Source organism: Homo sapiens, chromosome 12 (genome assembly GCF_000001405.40).
Source record: "Homo sapiens chromosome 12, GRCh38.p14 Primary Assembly".
In the NCBI taxonomy this organism is placed as follows: domain Eukaryota; kingdom Metazoa; phylum Chordata; class Mammalia; order Primates; family Hominidae; genus Homo; species Homo sapiens.
Genome location: NC_000012.12, coordinates 26297202 through 26321999, shown reverse-complemented (window position 1 = coordinate 26321999; position 24798 = coordinate 26297202). Strand labels below are relative to the sequence as shown.

At 39.8% G+C, this 24798-nt stretch overlaps 2 long non-coding RNA genes across 4 annotated transcripts in view, besides 1 other annotated feature; both read right to left on the bottom strand.

Moving 5' to 3' along the window:
• ITPR2-AS2 (ITPR2 antisense RNA 2) overlaps nt 1-3076 on the bottom strand; it is a 103881-nt gene extending 100805 nt beyond the window's left edge. Inside the window, exon 1 of the long non-coding RNA NR_199072.1 lies at nt 2996-3076. This is a non-coding gene — a long non-coding RNA (ITPR2 antisense RNA 2). The remainder of the gene's footprint in view (nt 1-2995) is intronic.
• Nucleotides 3334-3383: an enhancer, noted in NCBI's record as "active region_6122". NCBI's record gives its function as "activates an Ori minimal core promoter by ATAC-STARR-seq in GM12878 lymphoblastoid cells {active_cell/tissue: GM12878}" and the evidence as "EXISTENCE:reporter gene assay evidence [ECO:0000049][PMID:35858748]".
• LOC105369705 (uncharacterized) overlaps nt 11545-24798 on the bottom strand; it is a 57584-nt gene continuing 44330 nt past the window's right edge. Inside the window, exons 3-6 of one of the 3 annotated variants that reach the window (XR_007063249.1) lie at nt 23575-23735; nt 20807-20877; nt 18147-18390; nt 11545-11624 (exon numbers count right to left, since the gene is read on the bottom strand). This is a non-coding gene — a long non-coding RNA (uncharacterized LOC105369705). Of the gene's footprint in view, nt 11625-17649; nt 18391-20806; nt 20878-23574; nt 23736-24798 lie in introns of those variants that run through there. The other 2 variants (XR_931451.3, XR_931452.3) reach the window with 2 other exon arrangements.

Sequence of the window (24798 nt, the reverse complement as noted above, 5' to 3'; positions counted from 1 at the left end):
GCATCCTTTGCAGGCACCTTCTTGCTGTAATGCCCCTGGATCCAGTTTCTGGAACTCTCCTATTACTTTTCTACACTCCTAAGATGGTTTCATCCAGTTTCATGCAGGATATAGAGATTTAGATACATTGCAATAACTCCCAGATCTGTGCCTCTACCTCCAACTTTCTTCTCATTTATCATATCTCCACTTACATGAATAATAGGCCTCTCACCCTTCAGACAGTTCAGTCCTCATTATTCATAAATTCCATATTTGCAAATTTTCTTATTCACTAAACTCTATTTGTGACCCCAAGATCAGTACTCATGGCACTTTCATAATCATTGCAGTCACGTGCAGGCCTATAAAAATTTTGAGTCACCCGACATGTACGTTCCAGCTGGGATGAGACAAGACATTCTACCTTCTTGTTTCAACTCTCATGATGCAAATAAGCATCCTTTTCATTATCTATTTAATGCCACTTTTTTACACTTTTGTGCTTTTTGTTAGTGACCTTGCTCTTTAAAATGGCACCCAAGTCTTCCTTTGAAATTGCTCCACTTCCTACACCTTCATTATTTCAAGCCTGGTCCCAACCATGATTGCCTTGATTATGGCAATTGCGTCCTAGCTGGTTACCCTCCTCTCATCTGTGACCGTGCCCGCTCCCAGCACACATAAGGCAGATCGTGTCCCTCCTCTGCTGAGAACCCTTCAAAGATGAGAGTCTTATCTGAAGCCACAGTGTCATCTTTGCTGATTCTCTAATATATCATGACGTGCTCTCACCTCAAGGCCTTGCATTTGCTCTTTTCTCTGTGTCACTTTTTCTGTTTTTTCTTTTCTTTTTCTTTTTTTTTAATATATATATTTTTTGAGACAGAGTCTCACTCTGTTTTGCAGGCTGGAGTGCAGTGGCATGATCTTGGCTCACTGCAACCTCCGCTTCCTGGGTTCCAGCGATTCTCCTGCCTCAGCTTCCCGAGTAGCTGGGATTACAGGCGCATGCCACTACACCCAGCTAGTTTTTGTATTTTTAGTAGAAACAGGCTTTCTCCATGTTGGCCAGGCTGATCTCCAACTCTTGACTTCAGGTGATCTGCCTGCTTTGGCCTCCCAAAATGCTGGGATTACAGGTGTGAGCCATCGCACCCAGCCTTCTTTTCTCTATTTCAAACATTTGTCCTGCAAGGATGCAAGTGGCTCACTTCCTCCCTGCCTTTTTGTCTCTGCTCAAACATCAGTTTATCAGAAAAAACTCCCCTAGTTACTCTATATAGAATTGCACTTCCTTTATTCTCTATCCTCTTACTCAGCCTTACTTTTCTTCATATTGATTATCACCCAGTATATTAAAACTCTGCTTATTGTTTACTCTCAAAAGAATGTAAACTTTTTGAGGGCAAAGACTTGATCTATTTTGTTCACTGCTGTTTTCCCAGTGCCTGAAACGTTACCAGACACAAAGTATGTGCTCAATAAAATGTATTTTGATGAGGATTCATACTTTGGTTTCTTCTGTGTGAAATGGAGATAATATGACTCTCTTTCACACTGGGACTTATCTGTTACAATGTTAGATTGTACTTCAGACTGCCTGCCAGGCCCTTGGGCCATCTTCAATAAGTCAGCTCAGGGAAGGCTGGTGTCCACTATTGACCTAAGCAAGCCAATGACAGCCTACACCTGAAGCAGAGAGCAGAAATGTTGAGATTATCGACTGCCCCTTGGCTTTGGTAAGAGGAATAAAAAATGGCTATGTTGTTTTAGAAAATATCACCTTGAAAGCTCCATGATGATGTACCAATTTGCTCTGATTGTCTCATAAAGCACCATTTTCCTTCCCCATATATTATGGAGCAGATGGCTCTCTTCTCAAAGGAAGCTGTGCCATTTTAAAACTTTTCTTCCCATGCAGGATGAGCCACTGGCTAAAATGGTGAGATCACCACCCATCCAGCCATGCTATTATAACCCAGGACACTCATGTAGGATTGAGGCCTGGAAAGTTAACTGCATGATTCCCAGGTGTTAGGGCTACTTACCAAGAATGCCTGCTTAACTTTGAAAGGAAGGTTTCCCTGGGAACATACATCCTGGTGAACAGGATCAGGTGTTGCTTAATAGATATTATGTAGATACAGAGTAAATGTCAGGCTTACATAGAGGAGTTGGCTGCTGAGGCAAATTTGTTCTTCAGCCTTGGCCAGCAACCCAGAATTTAAGGGAGGAGTCAAGGCCGGAAGCCACGTGCATTGAGGATCTAGGAAACCACCCACAGAGTCATCCTTCTTCCAGACTCAGCCTCCTCAGACAAAAAATCCCACTCTGTTCCCAGGCCGGAGAGCCTCCTGGGCTGGAATTGCTCAAGCCTCAGCTCACAGATGAGTCACTGTATTCATTTGCTCCACAGGTAGGCGTGTAGTTTGGCCCCATATGCAACAGACAGGCCAAGTTAACAGCAACTCGGGGAATTTCAAAATTGATTTTTATGGCAAAAAGAACACATGACCATTGTGATAGAAAATATTGGAACATACAGGCAAGCACCATAAATTTTAAAAAGAGCTGATAATCCCCAAACGCAGAGATTAAACATCATTAATAATTTCTTGTCTCACCTTCCAGGCTTTTGTCTATCCACCTGGGAGTACATATAGTGTAAAACAAATTGGATTATTCTAACAATGTTGTTTTACGGTCCTTCTCTATATACTATCCTACGGTGGACATTTTCCCAGGTCATTGATTATTCTGTTCTAGTGATTTTTTAATGGCCATACAACCTTCCAAAATAAAAATGTACCATAGTTTGTTGTACAATGCTTTACAGTTGAACATTTAGATAATTTTCAGTTTTTCGTTACTAAAGTTAACACTATGATGAGCATGATTGAACATACATATTTGTGTACGCCTCTGATTCCTGACTAAGAATAAATTCATTCAAATGAAATCATGCAACCAAAACATATGAGTATTTTCAAGGCTTAAAAAAGGTTTTACTTACTTATACTCCTACACTTGCGGCATGAAACAGGCCCTTTCCCAAAGGTGGCTTTTAGGTAAGGCTGCTTTGGTGGCCCAGACTAGGGTCCCCCTGCCTCTGATAGAGCTAAACTGTGCCGCAGGAAGCTGCCCCAGGGCAGCTGTGTGCAGAAGGCTGTTTTTGCCCCTTGGGGCCTTCCGGCTGCATTTTCTCATCTCTACAGCCGGGCCAGCTGAAGCATGTGGAGGTCAGGTGATGTGTGTGGGGTCATGCAGCCAGTGGTGACTCAGCCAAACCCACTCCAGCTCCTGAACCTTGCTCAGATCACAAGGCTGAGAGCACTCGCTTTCCCTGCAGCCCACAGTTTCCAAATAATTAAAAGAGGCTCCTTGTGCTTGAGTTTGTAGATATTAAGTTTTTGGAATGAGTGGTTCAGCCCCATGACCTTGTTAATTGGTGACACTAAATGCTGTATAATCCTGCCTTCCTTTTTCTTTCTGGAAACAATCAGAATAATTTGTTGAGCTTCCCTGCACTGTATAATTTGCAATGAAGCTTTGTGATGAGTCTATTCAGGTGCCCATCTGAGACTCAGATTCAAAGACATAACTGCTGAGCTGAATCAAAACAACAACTCTGGTACATCTGATTCATTATGACTCATGCATCAAACTCAAGCTGCCTATTAAGGTACTAGAACACTCTCACCAACATAAGAAAACCCCTGATGACAAAGATTGGCCAACTCTTGGGGATTATTGTCTCCTTCATCCATAATTCAGTAAGCCAAATTAAATTCAGGTGACCAATAGTTAAGTCAACCTAACAAGACTGTCTCTTCTCAGGTGGCTGGGCCAGCATGGGGGATGACTGCAGCTATTCCACAGGGAGTCTTTGCTTCCAGTGGTTTACTATCCCTGTATTACTCTCTGGAATGGAGCCTGTGAGCTCAAGGTCCTCTGTGGACATCATACTTTGTTCTGATTCTTAGCCATACACAGTGGGAGTTGAATCCCAGATGTCCTCTTATGGCCCAGCACCATTTGCACAGGGTTAAGAGAAAATGGAAGAGCATCAACCCATCCCCTCAGCTGGGAAATGACTCCTGACTCTTTTGCCAGGAGAATATATCAGTTACATCCTCTTTTGGGCATTCAGAGATGAGCCTAATATGTAAAAATTAAAGTAAACAGGCTGAAGAGACACCTACTTGTAGTATAGCTGCTGTATTATTTATCTGCATATATAAATGCACAGGCACGTAACCTAGCTGATTCTAAACTGCGTAGGTGAGTGTTTGCAGAACTAGGGGCTAGGAAGTTTTCTCAGTACCTATTTGCATGAGGCTGTGTTTCAGGAAGGCTTTTGGTTGTTAGCTGAAGGATGATGATGGAATTTAATGAGGAGTCCTTGGGACAGAGACTGAAATGGCGGGATGGCCTGGTATTTGGTTCCTATCAGGATATTGAGGGTGATTTGAGCTAGGAGGAATAAGGGATGACAGCCATGTCCTGGGCTTCGGCACTGCTCTGACACTCTGAAGGTCAGCAGAGTTGAAAGCCTTGCAGGTGAGCTGTTGGCATGGATGCCGGCGATGCTCGTGATAGGTTCTGCCAGTCATGGCAGGACTGAGGCTCCTTCAGAAGGTGTTGTGAGTAGAGGATGCTGAGGAGGGAGAGGGGGAGAAAGAGAAAGAATAAGGCAAATTCCACATGTGATTATATCTAATAGTCTGACTTATGAGTTCCTGTGGGAGAACTTAGAGGAAGTCCAGAAATACTTGGGGAGGCCTTACAGGGGTCTGCAGGGCAGGTTAGGCTAGAGCAGGAAACTCAGTTGTAAATGCTAATGCATCCATCACACCAAAGGCCCCTGTTTTTATACATCAGTCTTTTATTTCTTGGCATTTAGGTAATGGCTGGATTATTTGTTGTTGTTTTTGAGACAGGGTCTCACTCTGTTGCCCAGGATGGAGTACAGTGGCATGATCTCAGCTCACTGAAATCTTGACCTCCCAGGCTCAAGCAATTCTCGCACCTCAGCCTCCCAAGTAGCTAGGACTATAGGTGCACTACTGCCCCCAGCAAATTTTTGTATTTTCAGTAGAGATGGAGTTTCACTATGTTGCCCAGTCTGGTCTCAAACTCCTGACCTCAAGCAATCCACCGGCCTCAGCCTCCCAGAGTGTTGGGATTACAGGCAGGAGCCACCACCCAGCCAATTTCTGTTTTTTCATTATTAAAAATAACAGTGAGGAGGAGGGGGCAACATGGCCAAATAGGAACAGCTCTGGTCTGCAGCTCCCAGGTAGACCAACGCAGAGGGTGGGTGATTTCTGCATTTACAACTGAGGTACCCAGTTCATCTTGCTGGGACTGGTTAGACAGTGGGTGCAGCCCACAGAGGGCAAGCCAAAGCAGGGTGGGGCGTCGCCTCACCTGGGAAGCACAGAGGGTCAGGGAACTCCCTCCCCTAGCTAAGGGAAGCCATGAGGGACTGTGCCGTGAGGAAGTGTGCACTCTGGCCCGGATACTTCGCTTTTCCCATGGTCTTCCCAACCTGCAGACCACGAGATTCCCTCCAGTGCCTTTGCCACCAGGGCCCTAGGTTTCAAGCACAAAACTGGGTGGCCATTTGGGCAGACATCAAGCTAGCTGCAGGAGGTTTTTTTTTGTACCCCAGTGGTACTTGGAAGCCCAGTGAGACAACCATTCACTCCCCTGGAAAGAGGGCTGAAGCCAGGGAGCCAAGTGGTCTTGCTCAGTAGGTCCCACCACCACGGAGCCCAGCAAGCTAAGATCCACCAGCTTGAAATTGTTGCTGCCAGCACAGCAGTCTGAAGTCAGCTTGAGACGCTCGAGCTTGGTTGGGGGAGGGATGTCCACCATTACTGAGGCTTGAGTAGCTGGTTTTCCCCTACTCAAACAAAGCCGCCAGGAAGTTTGGACTGGGCGGAGCCCACCACAGCGTGGCAAAGCTGCTGTATCCAGACTGCCTCTCTAGATTCCTCCTCTCTTGGCGGGGCATCTCTAAAAGAAAGGCAGCAGCCCCAGTCAGGGGATTATAGGTAAAAATCCCATCTTCCTGGGACAGAGCACCTGGGGGAAGGGGCAGCTGCAGGCACAGCTTCAGCAGACTTAAACATTCCTGCCTGCCAGCTCTGAAGAGAGCAGCAGATCTCCCAGCACAGCCCTTGAGCTCTGGTAAGGGACAGACTGCCTCCTCAAATGGGTCCCTGACCCCCATGCCTCCTGACTAAGAGACAGCTCCCAGCAGGGTCGACAGACACCTCATACAGGAGAGCACCAGCTTGCATCTGGAGGGTGCCCCTCTGGGATGAAGCTTCCAGAGGAAGGAACAGGCAGCAATCCTTGCTGTTCTGCAGGCTCCACTGGTGATACCCAGGCAAACAGGGTCTGGAGTGGACCTCCAGCAAACTCCAGCAGACCTGCAGAAGAGGGGCCTGACTGTTAGAAGGAAAAATAACAAACAGAAAGCAATAGCATTAACATCAACAAAAAGGATGCCCACACAAAAACCCCATCCAAAGGTCATCAGCATCAAAGATCAAAGGTAGATAAATCCATGAAGATGAGGAAAAACCAGTGCAAAAATGTTAAAAATTTCAAACACCAGAATGCCTCTTCTCCTTCAAAGTATCACAGCTCCTTGCCAGCAAGGGAACAAAACTGGATGGAGAATGACTTTGACAAATTGACGGGAGTAGGCTTCAGAAGGTGGGTAATAACAAACTCCTCCAAGCTAAAGGAACAAGGTTCTAAGGAAGCTAAGAACCTTGATAAAAGGTTACAGAAAGTGCTAACTAGAATAACCCATTTACAGAAGAACATAAATGACCCGACAGAGCTGAAAAACACAGCATGAGAACTTCGTGAAGCACACACAAGTATCAATAGCTGAATCAATCAAGTGGAAGAAAGGATATCAGAGATTGAAGATCAACTTAATGAAATCAAGTGTGAAGACAAGATTAGAGAAAAAAGAATGAAAAGGAATGAACAAAGCCTCCAAGAAATATAGGACTATGTGAAAAGACCAAACCTACGATTTATTGGTGTACCTGAAAGTGATGGGGAGAATGGAACCAAGTTGGAAAACACACTTCAGGATGTTATCTAGGAGACCTTCTCCAACCTAGCAAGGCAGGCCAAAATCCAAATTCAGGAAATACAGAGAACACCACTAAGATACTCCTCAAGAAGAACAACCCCAAGACACATAATCATCAGATTCACCAAGGTGGAAATGAAGGAAAAAATGTTAAAGGCAGCCAAAGAGAAAGGTCAGATTACCTAGAAAGGGAAGCCCATCAGACTAACAGTGGATCTCTCTGCAGAAACCTTACAAGCCAGAAGAGAGTGGGGGCCAATATTCAACATTCTGAAAGAAAAGAATTTTCAGCCCAGAATTTCATATCCAGCCAAACTAAGCTTCATTAGCAAAGGAGAAATAAAATCCTTTCCAGACAAGCAAATGCTCAGGGATTTTTGTCACTACCAGGCCTGCTTTACAAGAGCTCCCAAAGGAAGCACTAAATATAAAAAGGAAAAACTGATACCAGCCACTGCAAAAACATACCAAAATATAAGGCCAATGACACTATGAAGAAACTACATCAACTACTGGCAAAACAACCAGCTAGCATCATGGTGACAGGATCAAATTCACAAATAAAAATATTAACCTTAAATGTAAATGGGCTAAATGCCCCAATTAAAAGAAACAGACTGTGGATAAAGAGTCAAGATCCATTGTTGTGCTGTATTCAGGAGACCTATCTCATGTGCAAAGACATACATAGGCTCAAAATAAAGGAATGGAGGAAGATTTACCAAGCAAATGGAAAGTGAAAAAAAAAGCAGGGGTTCCAATCCTAGTCTCTAATAAAACAGACATTAAACCAACAAAGATCAAAAAAGACAAAGAAGGGCATTACATAATGGTAAAGGGATCAATACAATAAGAAGAGCTAACTATCCTAAATATATATGCACCCAATACAGGAGTACCCAGCTTCACAAAGCAAGTTCTTAGAGACCTACAAAAAGACTTAGACTCCCATACAATAATAGTGGGAGACTTTAACACCCCACTGTCAATATTAGACAGATCGATGAGACAGAAAATTAACAAGGATATTCAGGACTTGAACTTGGCTCTGGACCAAGCAGACCTAATAGACATCTACAGAACTCTCCACCCCAAATCAACGGAATATACATTCTTCTCAGCACCACATCACACTTATTCTAAAATCAACCACATAATTGGAAGTAAAACACTCCTCAGCAAATGCAAAAGAATGGAAAGCATAACAGTCTCTCAGACCACAGTGCAATCAAATTAGAACTCAGGATTAAGAAACACACTCAAAACCATGCAGCTACATGAAAACTGAACAACCTGCTCCTGAATGACTACTGGGTAAATAACAAAATTAAGGCAGAAATAAATAAGTTCTTTGAAACCAATGAGAACAAAGGCACAACATACCAGAATCTCTGGGACACAGCTAAAGCAGTGTTTCGAGGAAAATTTATAGCTGTGAATGACCAAAGAAGAAAGTAGGAAAGATCCAAAATTGACACCCTAACTTCACAATTAAAAGAACTAGGAAAGCAAGAGCAAACAAATTCAAAAACTAGCAGAAGATAAGAAATATCTAAGATCAGAGCAGAACTGAAGGAGATAGAGACACCAAAAAAACCCTTCAAAATATCAATGAATCCAGAAGCTGGGTTTTTTAAAAGATTAACAAAATAGATAGACCACTAGCCAGGCTAATAAAGAAGAAAAGAGAGAATAATCAAATAGACACAATAAAAAATGACAAAGGGGAGATCATCACCGATGCCACAGAAATACAAACTACCATCAGAGAATACTATAAACACCTGTACAAAAATAAACTAGAAACTCTAGAAGAAATGGATAAATTCCTGGTCACATACACCCTCCCAAGGTTAAGCCAGAAATAAGTCCAATCCCTCAATTGACCAATAACAAGTTCTGAAATTGACGTAGTAATTAATAGCCTACCAACAAAAAAAAAAGCCCAGGATCAGACAGATTCACGGCCAAATTCTACCAGAGGTACAAAGAGGAGCTGGTACCATTCCTTCTGAAGCTATTCCAAACAATAGAAAAACAGGGACTCCTCCCTAACTTATTTTATGAGGCCGCCATCATCCTGATACCAAAACCTGGCAGAGACACAACAACAACAACAAAAATTTCAGGCCAATGTCCCTGATGAACATCAATGCAAAAATCCTCCATAAAATATTGGCAAACTGAATCCAGCAGCACATCAAAAAGCTTATACACCACAATCAAGTCAGCTTCATCCATGGGATGCAAGGCTGGTCCAGCATATGCAAATCAATAAATGTAATCCATCACATAAACAGAACCAATGACAAAAAACACCCGATTATCTCAATAGATGCAGAAAAGGCCTTTGATAAAATTCAACACCCCTTCATGGTAAAAACGCTCAATAAACTAGGTATTGATGGAACATATCTCAAGATAATAAGAGCTATTTATGACAAATTCACAGCCAATATCATACTGAGTGGGCAAAAGCTGGAAGCATTCCTTTTGAAAACTGGCACAAGACAAGGATATCCTCTCTCACCACTCCTATTCAACATAGTATTGGAATTTCTGGCCAGGGCAATCAGGCAAGAGCAAAAAATAAAGCGTATTCAAATAGGAAGTCAAATTGTCTCTGTTTGTAGATGACATGACTGTATATTTAGAAAACCCCATTGCCTCAGCCCCAAAACTTTTTAAGCTGGTAAGCAACTTCAGCAAAGTCAATGTGCAAAAATCACAAGCATTCCTATACACCAATAATGGACAAACAGAGAGCCAAATCATGAGTGAACTGCCATTCGCAATTGCTACAAAGAGAATAAAACACCTAGGAATACAACTTACAAGGGATGTGAAGGACCTCTTCAAGGAGAACTACAAACCACTGCTCAAGAAAATAAGAGAGGACACAAACAAATAGGAAGAATCGATATCGTGAAAATAGCCATACTGCCCAAAGTAATTTGTAGATTCAATGCCATTTTCATCAAGCTACTGTTGACTTTCTTCATACAATTAGAAAAAACTACTTTAAATTTCATATGGAACAACAAAAAAAGTCCGCATAGCAAGACAATCCTAGGCAAAAAGAACAAAGCTGGAGGCATCACATTTCCTGACTTCAAACTATACTGAAAGGCTACAGTAACCAAAACTGCATGGTACTCTTACCAAAACAGATATATATACCAATGGAACAGAACAGAAGCCTCAGAAATAACACCGCACATCTACAACCATCTGATCTTTGACAAACCTGACAAAAACAAGAAATGGGGAAAGGATTTCCTGTTTAATAAAAGGTGTTGGGAAAACTGGCTAGCCATATACAGAAAACTGAAACTGGACCCCTTCATTACACCTTATACAAAAGTTAACTCAAGATGGATTAAAGACTTAAACATAAGACCTAAAACCATAAAAACCCTAGAAGAAAACCTAGGCAATGCCATTCAAGAAATAGGCATGGGGAAAGACTTCATGACTAAAACACCAAAAGCAAGTTGCAACAAAAGCCAAAATTGACAAATGGGATCTAATTAAACTAAAGAGCTTCAGCACAGCAAAATAAACTATCATCAGAGTGAACAGGCAACCTACAGAATGGGAGAAAATTTTTACAATCTACCAATCTGACAAAGGTCTAATATCCAGAATCTACAAGGAACTTAAACAAATTTACCCGAACAAACAAACAACCCCATTAAAAAGTGGGCAAAGGATATTAACAGACACTTCTCAAAAGAGGACATTTATGCAGCCAACAAACACCTGAAAAAAGGCTCATCATCACTGGTCATTAGAGAAATGCAATCAAAACTACAATGAGATACCATCTCACACCAGTTAGAATGGTAATCATTAAAAAGTCAGGAAACAACAGATGCTGGTGAGCATGTGAAGAAACAGTAACACTTTTACACTGTTGATGGGAGTATAAATTAGTTCAACCATTGTGGAAGACAGTGTGGTGATTCCTGAAGGACTAGAGCTGGAATTACCATTTGACCTAGCAATCCCATTACTGGGTATATACCCAAAGCATTATAAATCATTCTACTATAAAGACATGTGCACACGTATGTTTATTGCAGCGCTGTTTACAATAGCAAAGACTTGGAACCAACCCAAATGCCCATCGATGATAGACTGGACAAAGAAAATGTGGCATATATACACCATGGAATACTATGCGGCCATAAAAAAGGATAACATGTCTTTTGCAGGGACACGGATGAAGCTGGAAACCATCATTCTCATCAAACTAACACAGGAACAGAAAACCAAACACTGCATGTTCTCACTCCTAAGTGGGAGTTGAACAATAAGAACACATGGACACAGGGAGGGGAACATCACACACCAGGGCCTATCGGGGTGGGGGGCAAAGGAAGGGATAGCAGTAGGAGAAATACCTAATGCATGCAGGGCTTAAAACCTAGATGATGGGTTGATGGGTGCAGCAAACCACTGTGCCACATGTATATCTATGAAACAAACCAGCAGGATCTGCACATGTATCTGAAAACTTAAAGTATAATAATAAAAAAATAGCAGTGAGAAACATCCTTGAACATAATTCTTAAGTTAATCTCTGATTAAGTTCATATACATATGTCAACACATTTAATATTGTGTCTATCCATATAAAAATCAAATTTACTGAATTATGTTATATACAATAGTGTTTACATATGTAAGTATACAATTTGATGACTTTTTTATTATCTTAACCTTTATTATCATTCATGCTGGTAAAATCATCCTAAAATGTGTAGACTGACAGAACCCATGTTATGTTTTTATGATAATTATTCCAAAGAGCAACTTCATAATGAAGTAATATAATTGATTAATTAATTAAATCAGTATCAAAAGCATCCCAAATATTTTTTGAGGGAATAAAAAGACTACGTTCTTTACAGGGAAAATGATTTATTGTAGTCAAGAGTACCAGAGAAGGAGTGGGAAGCGAAATGGGACCGTGAAGGAAACCAATAAATTGTGAATTATTGTGATTATCCTAGGGGAAAAAGGCTTAATCCCATTTCAGAACACTGGGAGACAGTGTAGACCATACTACAGAATTACCCCAGCTGATTGATAGATGAGGAAACTGGGGTATTTATTTATCTACCGCCTTTTTATCATTGGTGTTGTTTTCATTTTTTTTTATTGTGATGAGAACACTTGGCATGAAATCTGCCCTCTTAATAGACTTTTAAATGTAAAATACAGTAATGCTATCTATAGACACAAAGTTGTGTATCCTGTATAATTGAAATATTGTGGCCAGGCTCAGTGGCTCACTCCTGTAATCCCAGCACTTTGGGAGCCCGAGGCGGGAGGATCATTTGAGATCTGGAGTTCGAGACCAGTCTGACCAACACGGTGAAACCCCGTCTCTATTAAAAATACAAAAAATATTAGCTGGGTGTGGTGGTGCACACCTGTAGTCCCAGCTACTCAGGAGGCTAAGGCAGGAGAATCACTTGAACCCAGAAGGTGGAGGTTGCAGTGAGCTAAGATCGTGCCACTGGACTCCAATCTGGGTGACAGAGTGAGACTCCATCTCAAAAAAATAAAAATAAAAATAAAAATATTTTGCCTATTGATTAGCAACTTTCCATTTTCCCCATCCCCCCGCCCCTGACAATAACTATTCACCCTCTGTTTCTATGAGTTTGCCTATTTTAGACGCTTCATATAAGTGCAATTATGCAGTATTTGTCCTTTTCTGACTGGCTCATTTCACTTACTATAATGTCCTCAACATTTATACATGTTGTTCCATGTTGCAGGCTTTCCTTCTTTTGTATAACTAAATAGTATTCTATTACATGTCTATATGACATTGTTAAAAATCCATTAATCTGTCAGTGAACACTTAGTTTTTATTTCCACAGCTTGGCGATTATAAATAGTGCTGCAATGAATATGGGAATGGTAATATCTCTTTGACATCCTGACTTCAGTTCTTTTGGACAAATACCCAGAAGTGGGTTTGCTGAATCCTATGCTAGTTCTATTTTTAATATTTTGAAAAATCTCCATGCTGTTTGTCATAGTGGCAGCATCATTTTGCATTCCCCTCCAACACTGTATAAGGATTCAAATTTCTTTACATTTTATCAACATGTGTTGTCTTTGTGTGTGTGTGTGTGTGTGTGTATTTTTATAATAGCCATCCTAACAAGTGTGAGGTGATATCTCATGGTGGTTTATATTTGCATTTCCCTGATGACTAGTGACTGGGCATCTTTTCATAAACTTGTTGGCCATTTGTATGTCCACTTTGGAAAAATGTGTATTCAAGTCTTTAGCCCAATTATTTAAGCAGGTTACTAGTTTTTTTACTGTTGTGTTATAGGAGTTTCTTATATATAAGTCTTCTTACATATTTTGGAAATTAACCCTTTATCAGAAATATGGTTTGCAAATATTTCCCCATTTTATAGGATGTCTTTTCACTCTGTTGATTGTTTCTTTTCTGGTAGAAGCTTTTTAGTTTGAGGCAGTCCCACTTGTCTATTTTGCTTTGTTACCTATGCTTTTTTTGGTGTCATATCCACAAAATCATTGTCAAGGCCAACGTCATGAAGATTTCTCCCTATGTTTTCCTCTAGGGGTTTTATAGTTCCAGGTCTTACCTTTAAGGCTTTAATCCATTTTGAGTTGATTTTTGTGTATGGTATAAAATAAAGGTCCAATTTTATTATTTTGCATGTGGATATCCAGTTTTCTCAACACCACTTGTTGAAGAGACTATCCTTTCCCCATTGTGTATTGTTGACATCATTGTTAAAGATCAGTTGACCATATATGTGTGGGTTTACTTCTGGGTAACTCGTCTATATTTCTGTCTTTATCCCACCACCACACTGTTTTGATTACTATAACTTTGTGTTATATTTTGAAATCAGAAACTGTGATGCCTCCACCTTTGTTAGTTTTCAAGATTGCATTGACTGTTCAGGTTCTTTTGTGGCTCCATGTGAATTGTGGAATTGGGTATTTTTTTCTATTTCTATAAAAAATGCCATTGGGATTTTGACAGGAATTGCATTGATCTATAGATCGTTTGGGGACATTTTAACAATATTAAGTCTTCAAATCCATGAATGTAGGATGTCTTTCCATTTGTTTGGTCTTCTTTAATTTCTTTTATCAATGTTTTGTAGTTTTCAGGATATACTTCCCTAGTTAATTTCATTCCTAAAAATATTTTTTATGTTATTGTAAATGAGATTGCTAATTTCTCAGACAGTTCATTATTAGTGTATAGAAATGTAATTGATTTTTGTATGTTAATTTTGTATTTTACAACTTTACTCAATTTATTAGTTGTAACAGTTTTTTAGTGGAGTCTTTGGGCTTTTCTATATAAAATCATGTCATCTGCAAATAGGGACAATTTTACTTATTCCTTTCTAATTTGGTTACCTTTTGTTTCTTTTTCTTGCCTGGTTGCTCTGGCTAGGACTTCCAGTACTCTGTTGAATAGAAAGGACTGGGTATCCATGCCTTGTTTCTGATCTTAGTGGAAAAGCTTTCAGTTTTCACCACTGAATATGATGTTAGCTATGAGCTTTCTGTATGTAACATTTATTATGTTGAGGTACTTACTTCCTATTCCTAGTTTGTTGAGAGTTTTTATCATGAAAATGTGTTGAATTTTATCGAATTCTTCTGCATCTATTGAGATAGTCATGTGATTTTATCCTTTATTCTGTTAATGTGATGTATCGCATTAATTAATTTTCATATATTTATCCATCCTTGCATCCCAGGGATAAATCCCACTTGGACATGGTGTGTGACACTTTTAATATGCTGTTGAATTAGTTTGCTGGCATTTTGTTGAAGATTTTTGTATGTATGTTCATCAGGACTATTAGCCTATAGTTTTCGTATAGTGTCTTTGTTTAGCTTTGGTATCGAGGTTTTGCTGGGTTCATAAAAATGAGTTTGGAAGTGTTCCTTCCTTTTCAATTTTTGAAAAGAGTTTGAGAAAAATTGGCATCAATTCTTCTTTAAATGTTTGGTAGAATTCACCAGTGAAGCCATCTGGACCTGGAATTTTCTTTGTTGGGAGGTTTTTGATTACTGACTGCTATGGCTTGAGTGTGTACCCCAAAGTTCATGTGTTAGAAACTTAATCCCCAATGCAACAATGTTGAGAGGTAGGGCCTTTAAGGGGTGATTAGGGCATGAAGGCTCTGCCTTCATGAATGGGATAAAGGCATCAGCTTTATCACAGGAATGGGTTATTTATCATAGAAGTTGGTTCCTGATAAAGGGATGAGTTTGGCTTCTTTCTATTTACTTTCACCCTCTTACCCTTCTGAGTTCCACCATGGGATAATGCAGCACTAAGGCCCTCCAAGATGCCAACAGCATGCTCTTGGACTTCCCAGCCTCCAGAATTGTGAGCCAAATAAATTTCTTTTCTTTATAAATTACCCAGTTTCAGGTATTCTGTTGTAGCAACACAAAATGGACTAGGATGCCGATTCAATCTCCTTATTAGTTATGGCCTGTTCAGACTTTATACTTCTTCGTGATGCACGTTTGGTAGGTTATATGTCTAGGAATTTATCCATTTCTTCAAGATTATCCAGTTTGTTGGCATTCATAATAGTCCCTTATGATCCTTTTTATTCCTGTGGCATCAGTTGTAATGTTTCCTCTTTTACTTCTGATTTTATTTGAATTCTGTCTCTTTTTTCTTAGTCTAGCTAAAGGTTTGTCAACTTAAAAAAATCCAACTCTTGGTTATGATTATTTTTCTGTTGCTTTTCTATTATATATTTCATTAATTTCTGCTGTAATATTTATTATTTACTCCTTCTGTTAACTTTGGGCTTAGTTTGTTCTTCTTCTAGTTTGTTGAGGTGTAAAGTTAGAGATATTTTTTCTTTTTTAATGTAGGTATTTATTAGAAATGCTTTTGCTGCATCTAATTAGTTTGGTATATTGTGTTTTCGGTTTGTCTCAAGATGTTTTCTAATTTTCCTTTTGATTTCTTCTTTGACCCATTAGTTGCTCAAAAGCTATTGTATTGCAGTCTTATAAGTTAAGAACTTTTGACACACACACACACACACACACACACACATACATACACACACAGACACACACACACACACACACACACACACACACATATATATATACACACACATATAACAAACTTCCCATTTAAGATGTAGACTATTTTCATCTCTTCAGAAAATTATTTTGTGTCCCTTTATGATCTCCTGTCCCCTCTTCACAGCTCTCAGGCAACCACTGATCTGATTTCAGCCAATCACTGATCTGATTTCTATCATCATAGATTAGTTTTGCCAGTTCTATAAATTCTTAGAAATGCAATCATATGTATATAATCTCTTATATATGGACTATTTTGCGTAGAATAATGTATTTGATGTTTATCCATGTTGTTCTATGTATCAGTAGTTTGTTTCTTTCTACTGCTAAGAATTTCATTACATGGAAATACCCCAATGTATTTGTTTATTTATTTGTAGTTGGTGATTTGTGTTGTTTTCCAAGCTTTTTACAAATAAAGTTGCTATAAATATTTGTCTATAAGTTATTTATTTATTTATTTTTACATGCACTTTTTGTCTTGTGAGTAGATATCTAGGAACAGAATTGCTGAGTGGTTTGGAAAGTTTATATTTAACATTTAGAAATTTGCCAAACTGTTTTCCAAAGTTGCTGTACTATTTTGCAAGAGTGCCAGTTGTTCCAAATTCTCCAACAGTTGGAATTTTCAGTCCTTTTACTTTTAGCAATTATAATGGGTATACAATATTTCATGGTATTTATTTTCATTTCTCTGATGATTAATGATGTTGAAGATCTTTTCATGTGATTATTTGCCATTTAGCTCTTCTTTCATGAACTCTTTATTCACATTTTGCCTATTTTTGTTTTATCTTCTTACTGCTGAGTTGTAAGAGCTTTTACTATACTCTGGTTACAAGTTCTTTTCCAGATATGTGCATTGAAAATATTTTCTCCTGTTTGTGGCTTGTGTTTTATTTTCTTTTTTGAAGAACAGGTTTTAATTTTATATAAAGTCCAATTTATAATTTTTTGTAGCTAATAAAGTTAATATTTGTGTAAATCACGAAGTATAGATATCCATTTGTTTTTAAGACTCTAAATAGCTTAGTATTTATAATTGGTCATAGTTCAGATAATAACAAGCACAGGACAAAAGCCAACAAATGTGCATTTCAAAAGCTTAATTACAAAACAACATATCTTAAACCAAGAGTTTTGAGGTTTAGTAAATGGGTCACAGGTGCAAAGTAATCATTTTCTAAAGCAGAAGATGGCACGATATATCCATGTGTCCTATCCACATTGTTTTGCATTTAAAGCCTTGAGAAGGAGTCTTCTAGATGGTTTGCTTAGCATTTGTTTTTCCACCTGTTGACTCCTTCCCAGGAAGAGATTTGAAACACATGCTGCTCTAGTAATCTGCTTACATGTGACTAAGGCTGTAGGATAGCAAAGTAACTACAGGCTAACAAAAGTAATTTTGTTGATATTTATTTGAAAACGCAGATGAATGGCAGTTTTGAAAATAATGTAGAAACATGCAGAAAAGTGACCTTCTAACCCTGTTATGTTGGACAGAAGCATGGTGCTTCTCTACACCTTGCTAATGTATAGGCAGATTAGGGACAGACAGCGTAAGAGATTTCATAAACTCAGCTGGTCATGAACATCATCAGTCTGTGCCCTGGGTGTTAGAGGACCTATGTTTGAATTCATCTCACTTTGACTTTCAGTGAATAAATTACCCTTTCTGAGTATCTGTGTTTTACTTTGTAAAGTAGGGATGCTACCTTTGATGTTTGTTGTAATCACTAAATGATATAACACATGAGGAAACATCTAATACATGGCCTTGTCTTATCTGCAGAGGGTAAATACTCGATAGATGTTTGTTGAATCTGAATAAGTTGGATGTTCAAGGTTGTTATTTAAACCAGAATATTCTATTAAAGCTACCACAGGCTGTTAGTACCTTATCTCAAGGTAGCCTTTCAGACTTCTCTGTTACCTGGCCAGGATCCTCTGGGAATGTACTACCAGATAGTCACTTTTGAGCAGGAAAAAAAAAGTCCTATCAAAAAATGAAGAAGAAAATATCAGACATAAGGTATTTCCCAAAGTGGTTTTCATCTCTTGGTGGGGTTTCACCTCTGGAGTAGGTTTCACACTAGGCTTCACACTTGGGCAGGCAGAGTAGATTATTTTGGCTGGGTGACCTTGGAGGGAGAGAAAAAAAAGCCATAAGGGAAACATTAATGAGAAAGAAGCAGAATGCAAGGTCAGAAAGTCAATGTTTTCTTATTTCACATTTAGCCCTTATCTTAGATCATTAATGTTTCAACAGATTTTTCCACGTCACAGCTGGAAGACCTAACATTCTGCTGGATACTATAGACAATTCAGAAACCAGTGTCTATTCTCTGCAAAGAGTAAGCCAGATAGATATAAAATAGTGATTCAGGACCAAAATGATTGACAGACCATGAGCATTTTAGAGTTCAAAAGGAAGCGATATGGAGAATGGGGCTGCCCATGAAGGGCTTCAAAACAAGGGTTAGAAATATGATAGATGTGCTCTCAGGGATGGTGAAGGGGAAGGATTAAACCTGGAAGGACACAAAGGAAACAAGTTTTCCCTGGGTCTTTAGGCCTTCATAAGTCTCTGTTCTAGTGTTACTCTACCGCTGTTACCCTTCTTGCTCTAATAAGTTGCTTTCTCCAAAACAAAATGGGTAAACTTGACATTCAACATTATGCTCCACTCTGATATCTCCAGCTATCATGTGGGTTCTTAAACTTAAAAAAAAAGTGCTATATTATTTTTCAAGTTCTCCTTTCCCCTACAGCCCTGGCATGAGTAACTGGGTGTGTGGGGCTGGAGGTAAGATTGAAGGGGTGAATAGGCATGACATGATTTCAGCAACAAAGACTTCGCTTCACTGAAAATTGTGTCTCTCCTGTGACACTGACCCTGTGCTTTCGATAAAGTTTATGGGTTTGTCTTCCAAAACTGATCATTTACCAGAGCCTCTCTCATCTCCAAATCCATAAACACATTGAAACTTTAAGATTGGACTCCACTTAGACTAATAACCTAGACCTCCTAACCCACAGGACTTCTAATAAGTAGCACATCAGCTCCTTCAATATCTACCTAGTGGGATCAAAGTAGAGGTTGTAGTGGAGCCATTGTGGGAACATAGTGGGGGTGGGGAATAAAAACACAGGCTTGTATCATCTGAAAAGACTAAGCCCAAAGAAGGAATGGAGGAAAAAAGAGAGTGTGAACATGAAGGAAGGTTCACTAAAGATACAGACAAAAAGAGCATTTTTAAGACAAGAGAATGAAATCTTACTGTTGGCAATACCCGTTCCTCATAGACAGGCTCTATCAATTTGCCCACTTTAGGGTAGCATTTGGTTGACTAGCCCCTCGTCTATGCAATACTTTCTTGTTGCTGGTATAAATCACTACTCTGGGTATATTATCTTTTGTTAGTTTCCATCCCCACTGTAGAACCTGAGGGGACAGATAGAGAACAGCAGCATAGGTAATGGTGTAGAGTTGAGATTAACCATGGCTTTGGTTGAGAGATCAGGTTTATCAATGTGGAAGACTCATGGGGAGAAACAATGGAAGACTCATTCATTAAGCTGATACTTGCAAAGCCCTCACTCTGTGGTAATACTACATGGAAAGACAGATAATAGAGAGAAAAAACTGAAGACACTGAAAAGTCAAAAAGAAGATAGAAGTGAATACATTTCCCTCTGGATCTAGGTAGTAAAGATGAAAGTATACATGTTAAGGAGGCCAGGTGCGGTGGCTCATGCCTGTAATCCCAGCACTTTGGGAGGCCGAGGTGGGTGGATCACGAGGTCAGGAGATCAAGACCATCCTGGCTAACAAGGTGAAACCCCGTCTCTACTAAAAATACAAAAAATTAGCCAGGCATGGTGGCGGGCACCTGTAGTCCCAGCTACTCGGGAGGCTGAGGCAGGAGAATGGCATGAGCCCAGGAGGTGGAGCTTGCAGTGAGCCAAGATTACACCACCACACTCCAACCTGTGTGAGAGAGCGAGACTCCATCTCAAAAAAAAAAAAAAATTGTATACATATTAAGGAATAAGTAATCTCAGGCAAACACTGGAGAGTCATTCATGAAAACTTGTACTGAGAATTCACTACCTGTCAAGCAGCTTTCTATGAGCTACAGAGGGGCTGTGCGATGAAGGAGAGGGGAGTGGGAGACAACAAGGAGTAAAATATAAAACCGACAGTCAAAGGGTTAAAAGCCTATGGGAGAATCAGATAAATAAATAAGAAAGTACCCTAAAACTTAAAGTATAATAATAATAATAAATAAATAAATTAAAGAAAAAAAAGTGAGTAAGGCTGACTTAGCTCCTGAGAGCTGGGAATTCAGAGACACTAAAGTCCTGGTATTCTAAAAAATAAAGTGATCCCTCTTGCTTCCAAAAAAAAAAAAAAAGAAAATAAAAAAGAAAAGTATAATGTTCCAAATGCCGTAGTAAAAATATATAAATCCACCCAGAATTCCCCTTCCCATTTCCCCCCAATCAGGGTCCTGATGTTGGCATGAGACCTGCTTTGGCTGAAAGTTTAACCACCTTTGAAGTTCAGTCCTCAGATTATCAGGCTGGGCTCTGTCTCTTCTTGCAGCTTCAGGAGATGAGGACTTCTGCATGAAAACAACAAAACCACTGGCTCTTCCACTTAGCATTCAATTATCTGTTACTCAGATATTTGTTGTGTTTCTGCAGGGCATCAATGGCCTTAGCAATCAGTATTGAGGAATATCATTATCCTTTTAGCTATAATTTCCTTTGTATGCCTCAGAAACCTGATACATCATACCCTCTAGAGCATTCTTTGCTATCAGTACACCTTCCCAGTTCACCACCAGTAAAAGTTTAACCATCAGATCAACACACTGGGCCAGGGGCTATCTGTGATCCACCTTCCACCAGCAATGGTATCCAGTACCCTCACTGCCAGCTGGAAATGAAACTCTAACTTACTGTGTATTTCCTAGGACTACTCTTAGATTGGGTTCTCTAGAAGGAGACACTAAGACACATTTTGGGGTCAAGCCACATATTATGGATGAACACGCATAAAGGAAGAACAAAGAAACAGGATTAAACAGAGAAAGCTGAAGATGACAGGTAGCTCAAGGGCTAAGATTCCAAGTCAACAATCCTGCAGTGGCTGAAACAACCAGGCCTTTAGACCCACTTTTCTCTGGCATGGATGTAGACCACTCCTGCAAGGATGCAAGGCAAGGCAACTGAGGCAGACCCTGAAGAAGATGACAGCTGGACAATATCAGCTGATCACACTGTCCACAATTGGGTGGCAGGTCATTCCTTGAAGGGGGATCTGGACAACGTACCATAGGCCTGAGCTAAGACAGAACGCAATCAGGAGATGATAGTTGATAGACAGACAGATTGACAAATGGATATAGAGATGTGTGTATGCATATATATATACACACACATATGTATACTTGCAGACCAGAGAGAAGAGGAAGGAGGAGGGGGAGAAGGAGAAAAGAAATTATGGAATAACATTAATATTACTTATAAATCTAGAAGATTAATTTGCAAAGATCAAGGATTATGTGGCTGGATATTTGAAGAAAACAAAGTATTTGGACATACTGGCCAGGAGAAATGTTTTAAGCCTTCTGACAGAATTTTAAAATCTCCCTAATGTTGCAGATCAGTTGGACTTTATAGTGTAAATTTACAGAAGGCCAGTCCCATAAGATTTTGGTCTTTATCTCACAGCCTCATATTGTCAAAGGCAGGTCCAGAGAACATAGTGGGTGCACACCATGGTTTGGGGGTGGCATGATAGATGTGGCTAAGTGCCAAATGGATAAATGTGTCTAGGATGATGGGGACATTGTTGTAATTGCTGACCACGGACTTTAAGTTGAATGGGGCATTGAATGGAGTCAGAAGGGCTCCTATGTCCTGGTGTGACAGAAAGAAATGATAAGTGATTTAATCTAGCAGAAGGGTAGAAGAGGATTTTTAGTTCTTATGAGTGAGTGGAAGAGAGAACAGATGGGGAGGTTTCAAGAGAAAGATGAAAGGACAAATTTGAGATCTTGATTGGGACATCTCCCATGAAAAGACCCAGGATAAAGCTATGCAGGTGGAAAGTTGGTATAGATCCGAGATGAAAGCTGTTAAAATTACATAAGGCAAGAGAATGTGAGGAATGTCACCATCATTGTCATCAAGATGCTTTTAGTAAAGCCTGGAATAATCAGATTTGAATTTCAGGTTCTGCACAGAGCAAGGTAGTAGATGCTATATCTGGCCACTAGGAATTTACAATCTGCCCCCTCTGGGAGGAGATGAAAACCAGTCTCCCCATTCCTGGAAAAAAGACCTCACTTGTTTTTTGCAAACTGAGAGGAACCAGGAAAACATTTTGGTTACAAGTATTAGCCTAAAATGCTAAAATATGTTGAAACCTACTTTGGCGGACTGAGGGACAGAACACATTTTTAAAAACAGACGTCGAATGGCTTCTTCCTCTTTCACTTTCTGCCACAGTGTCTGCTAGGCAAGGAAAATGACTCATTAATAAATTTAGCCCTGGAGGCCTGACTCAGACTCATTCAGAAACCTCTTAACAACCACCTCACCCAATCTTACTCTACTTTAGCTAATGATATTCTCCAGCTTAGGCTGTCAGAATTATGCCTTACACATGGGTAATGGGTTTTATAGCTTGTACTAGAAGTACGCTAATAGTATGAATTCACATTTTAGTGATGTTAAAGCTGAATGAAGTGAATCACCTTAGGCTAAACATCGAAGAGAAGATGAGATCATACTTCTTATCCCCAAAATAGCAAGTGTCCACAGCAAAGCACTTAGCTCTAGAGCAGACACTCCAGTTGATAGGTTAAGGTCTGAACCCAGTGACCTCACAGAAATAACTACTACCAAATTTGAAGAAGTGGTAGCAGCTCTTTTAATGAGCAATTGAAGGGTAGAAATCATTTCTTATGAAATTTTGTATTTTCTGTTCCTAGCACAGAACTTGGTAATAGATATTCAAAGCAGATGTTTGTTAAATGATTGAATAAATGAAGTATCTTAAATAACAATTTTTTGGTGATCACTGTCATCCCAGAGAGGAAATAAGAAAATGCACACTTTCTAGTTAAGGCAAACTGTGCAGTTCTCAACAGTGAACTGTGCTCAGATCTAAGTATCAAGGATAAAGAAATCTATTGCATTGCAGCTCTTCAGTATCCTTGATCTTATTCTTTTGATTAGTGTTGATGCTAATATCCATGTAGTTTCTGGAGCAGAGGTAGGGGAGGAGCTCAACAGGATTTCAAACAGACCTCCAGCTTCCTGGCTTGGGCTCCCCAAAGCTTCAACTTTTTATATTTATCATCGAAATCTCAGAAGTTTCTATGGCATCCTCTGTGGTGTTAGTCCAGGTAGAGAATCATTGTGTATCATTGAGAAGTCAAATCCAACCAATTCATATTTACTGGCACATCTATAAGAAAGTAATTGAAGAGTTACAAGGTATAGGCTTTGCCTCACGTGTTTTAATCTACCTGGGAGGAACAGATATGAAAAATATGAAAAGATGACAATAAAAGCTGTTAATAGCAATTCAAGCTAATAAATACTTGTCACAGGGCAACATATGACATTCATCTCCCCTTTTCTTGATTCCTACCAGACCCCAACTTTATTAAAGTATCCACTCCTCCTAGGTGATGTGGGGGAGGTTCAGGTGTAGGTCCTAATTAGTATAAGACTTAGCATGTTCATTCTGATTGAGCCAACATTGGTGACATGCCCACTGCTGGACCAGTAACGGTTGCAATGCTACTGCCAGCAATGGGCATGCGACTGATGTTGGCTCAATCAGACTGAAAGGAGAGACTGAGTCACTGCCTGGGGAGAGAGTTCCTGCTCTCTGCCACTAGGTATAAACAAAGAAGTATGTTGCCCTAGCTGCTTTTGACAGCCATCTTATGCCCATGAAGAAAGCAGACATAGGATGGCAGTGTGGAGAAAACATGGAGCATGTCCTAACTCAAATCAACCTCGGAGCATGTCCTAACTCAGAGCTCTTGCTGTGCGAGATAATAAATTTCCCTTCTTGCTTAAGGTGGTTTGGTGGGGGATTTGTTTCCAGTAGGATCTTGAGGAGACAATGACCAATTGCCAAATGCGTGGGCAGATAATAATTACTGTGAGAGTCCAGAATGAGAAGAGTTCACATCAGGCTAGAGTGGTCAGGACAGCATTCAGAGAAACAGACGCGTTAAGAATGAATAGGGTTTGTACAGAGGAAGCGGCAGGAGAAAAGCATTCCAGTCAAAAATCAGAAGATGGAGGGAGTTTTAGGAGCAGAAAAGGAGTAGGGAGTGCAGAGCTGGGAAGGCAGTGTCAGAAAAGACCTTGAACTCTTACCACATGAAAGTACCTGGAACCTTTCTATTTAGGCAGGAAGGCTTTAGGGGATCAAATTTTAACATGAGGTTTGAGGGGACAAACACCCAAACTTCAGCAATGGCTATACCCCATGGTTAGCACTGAGGTTGTTT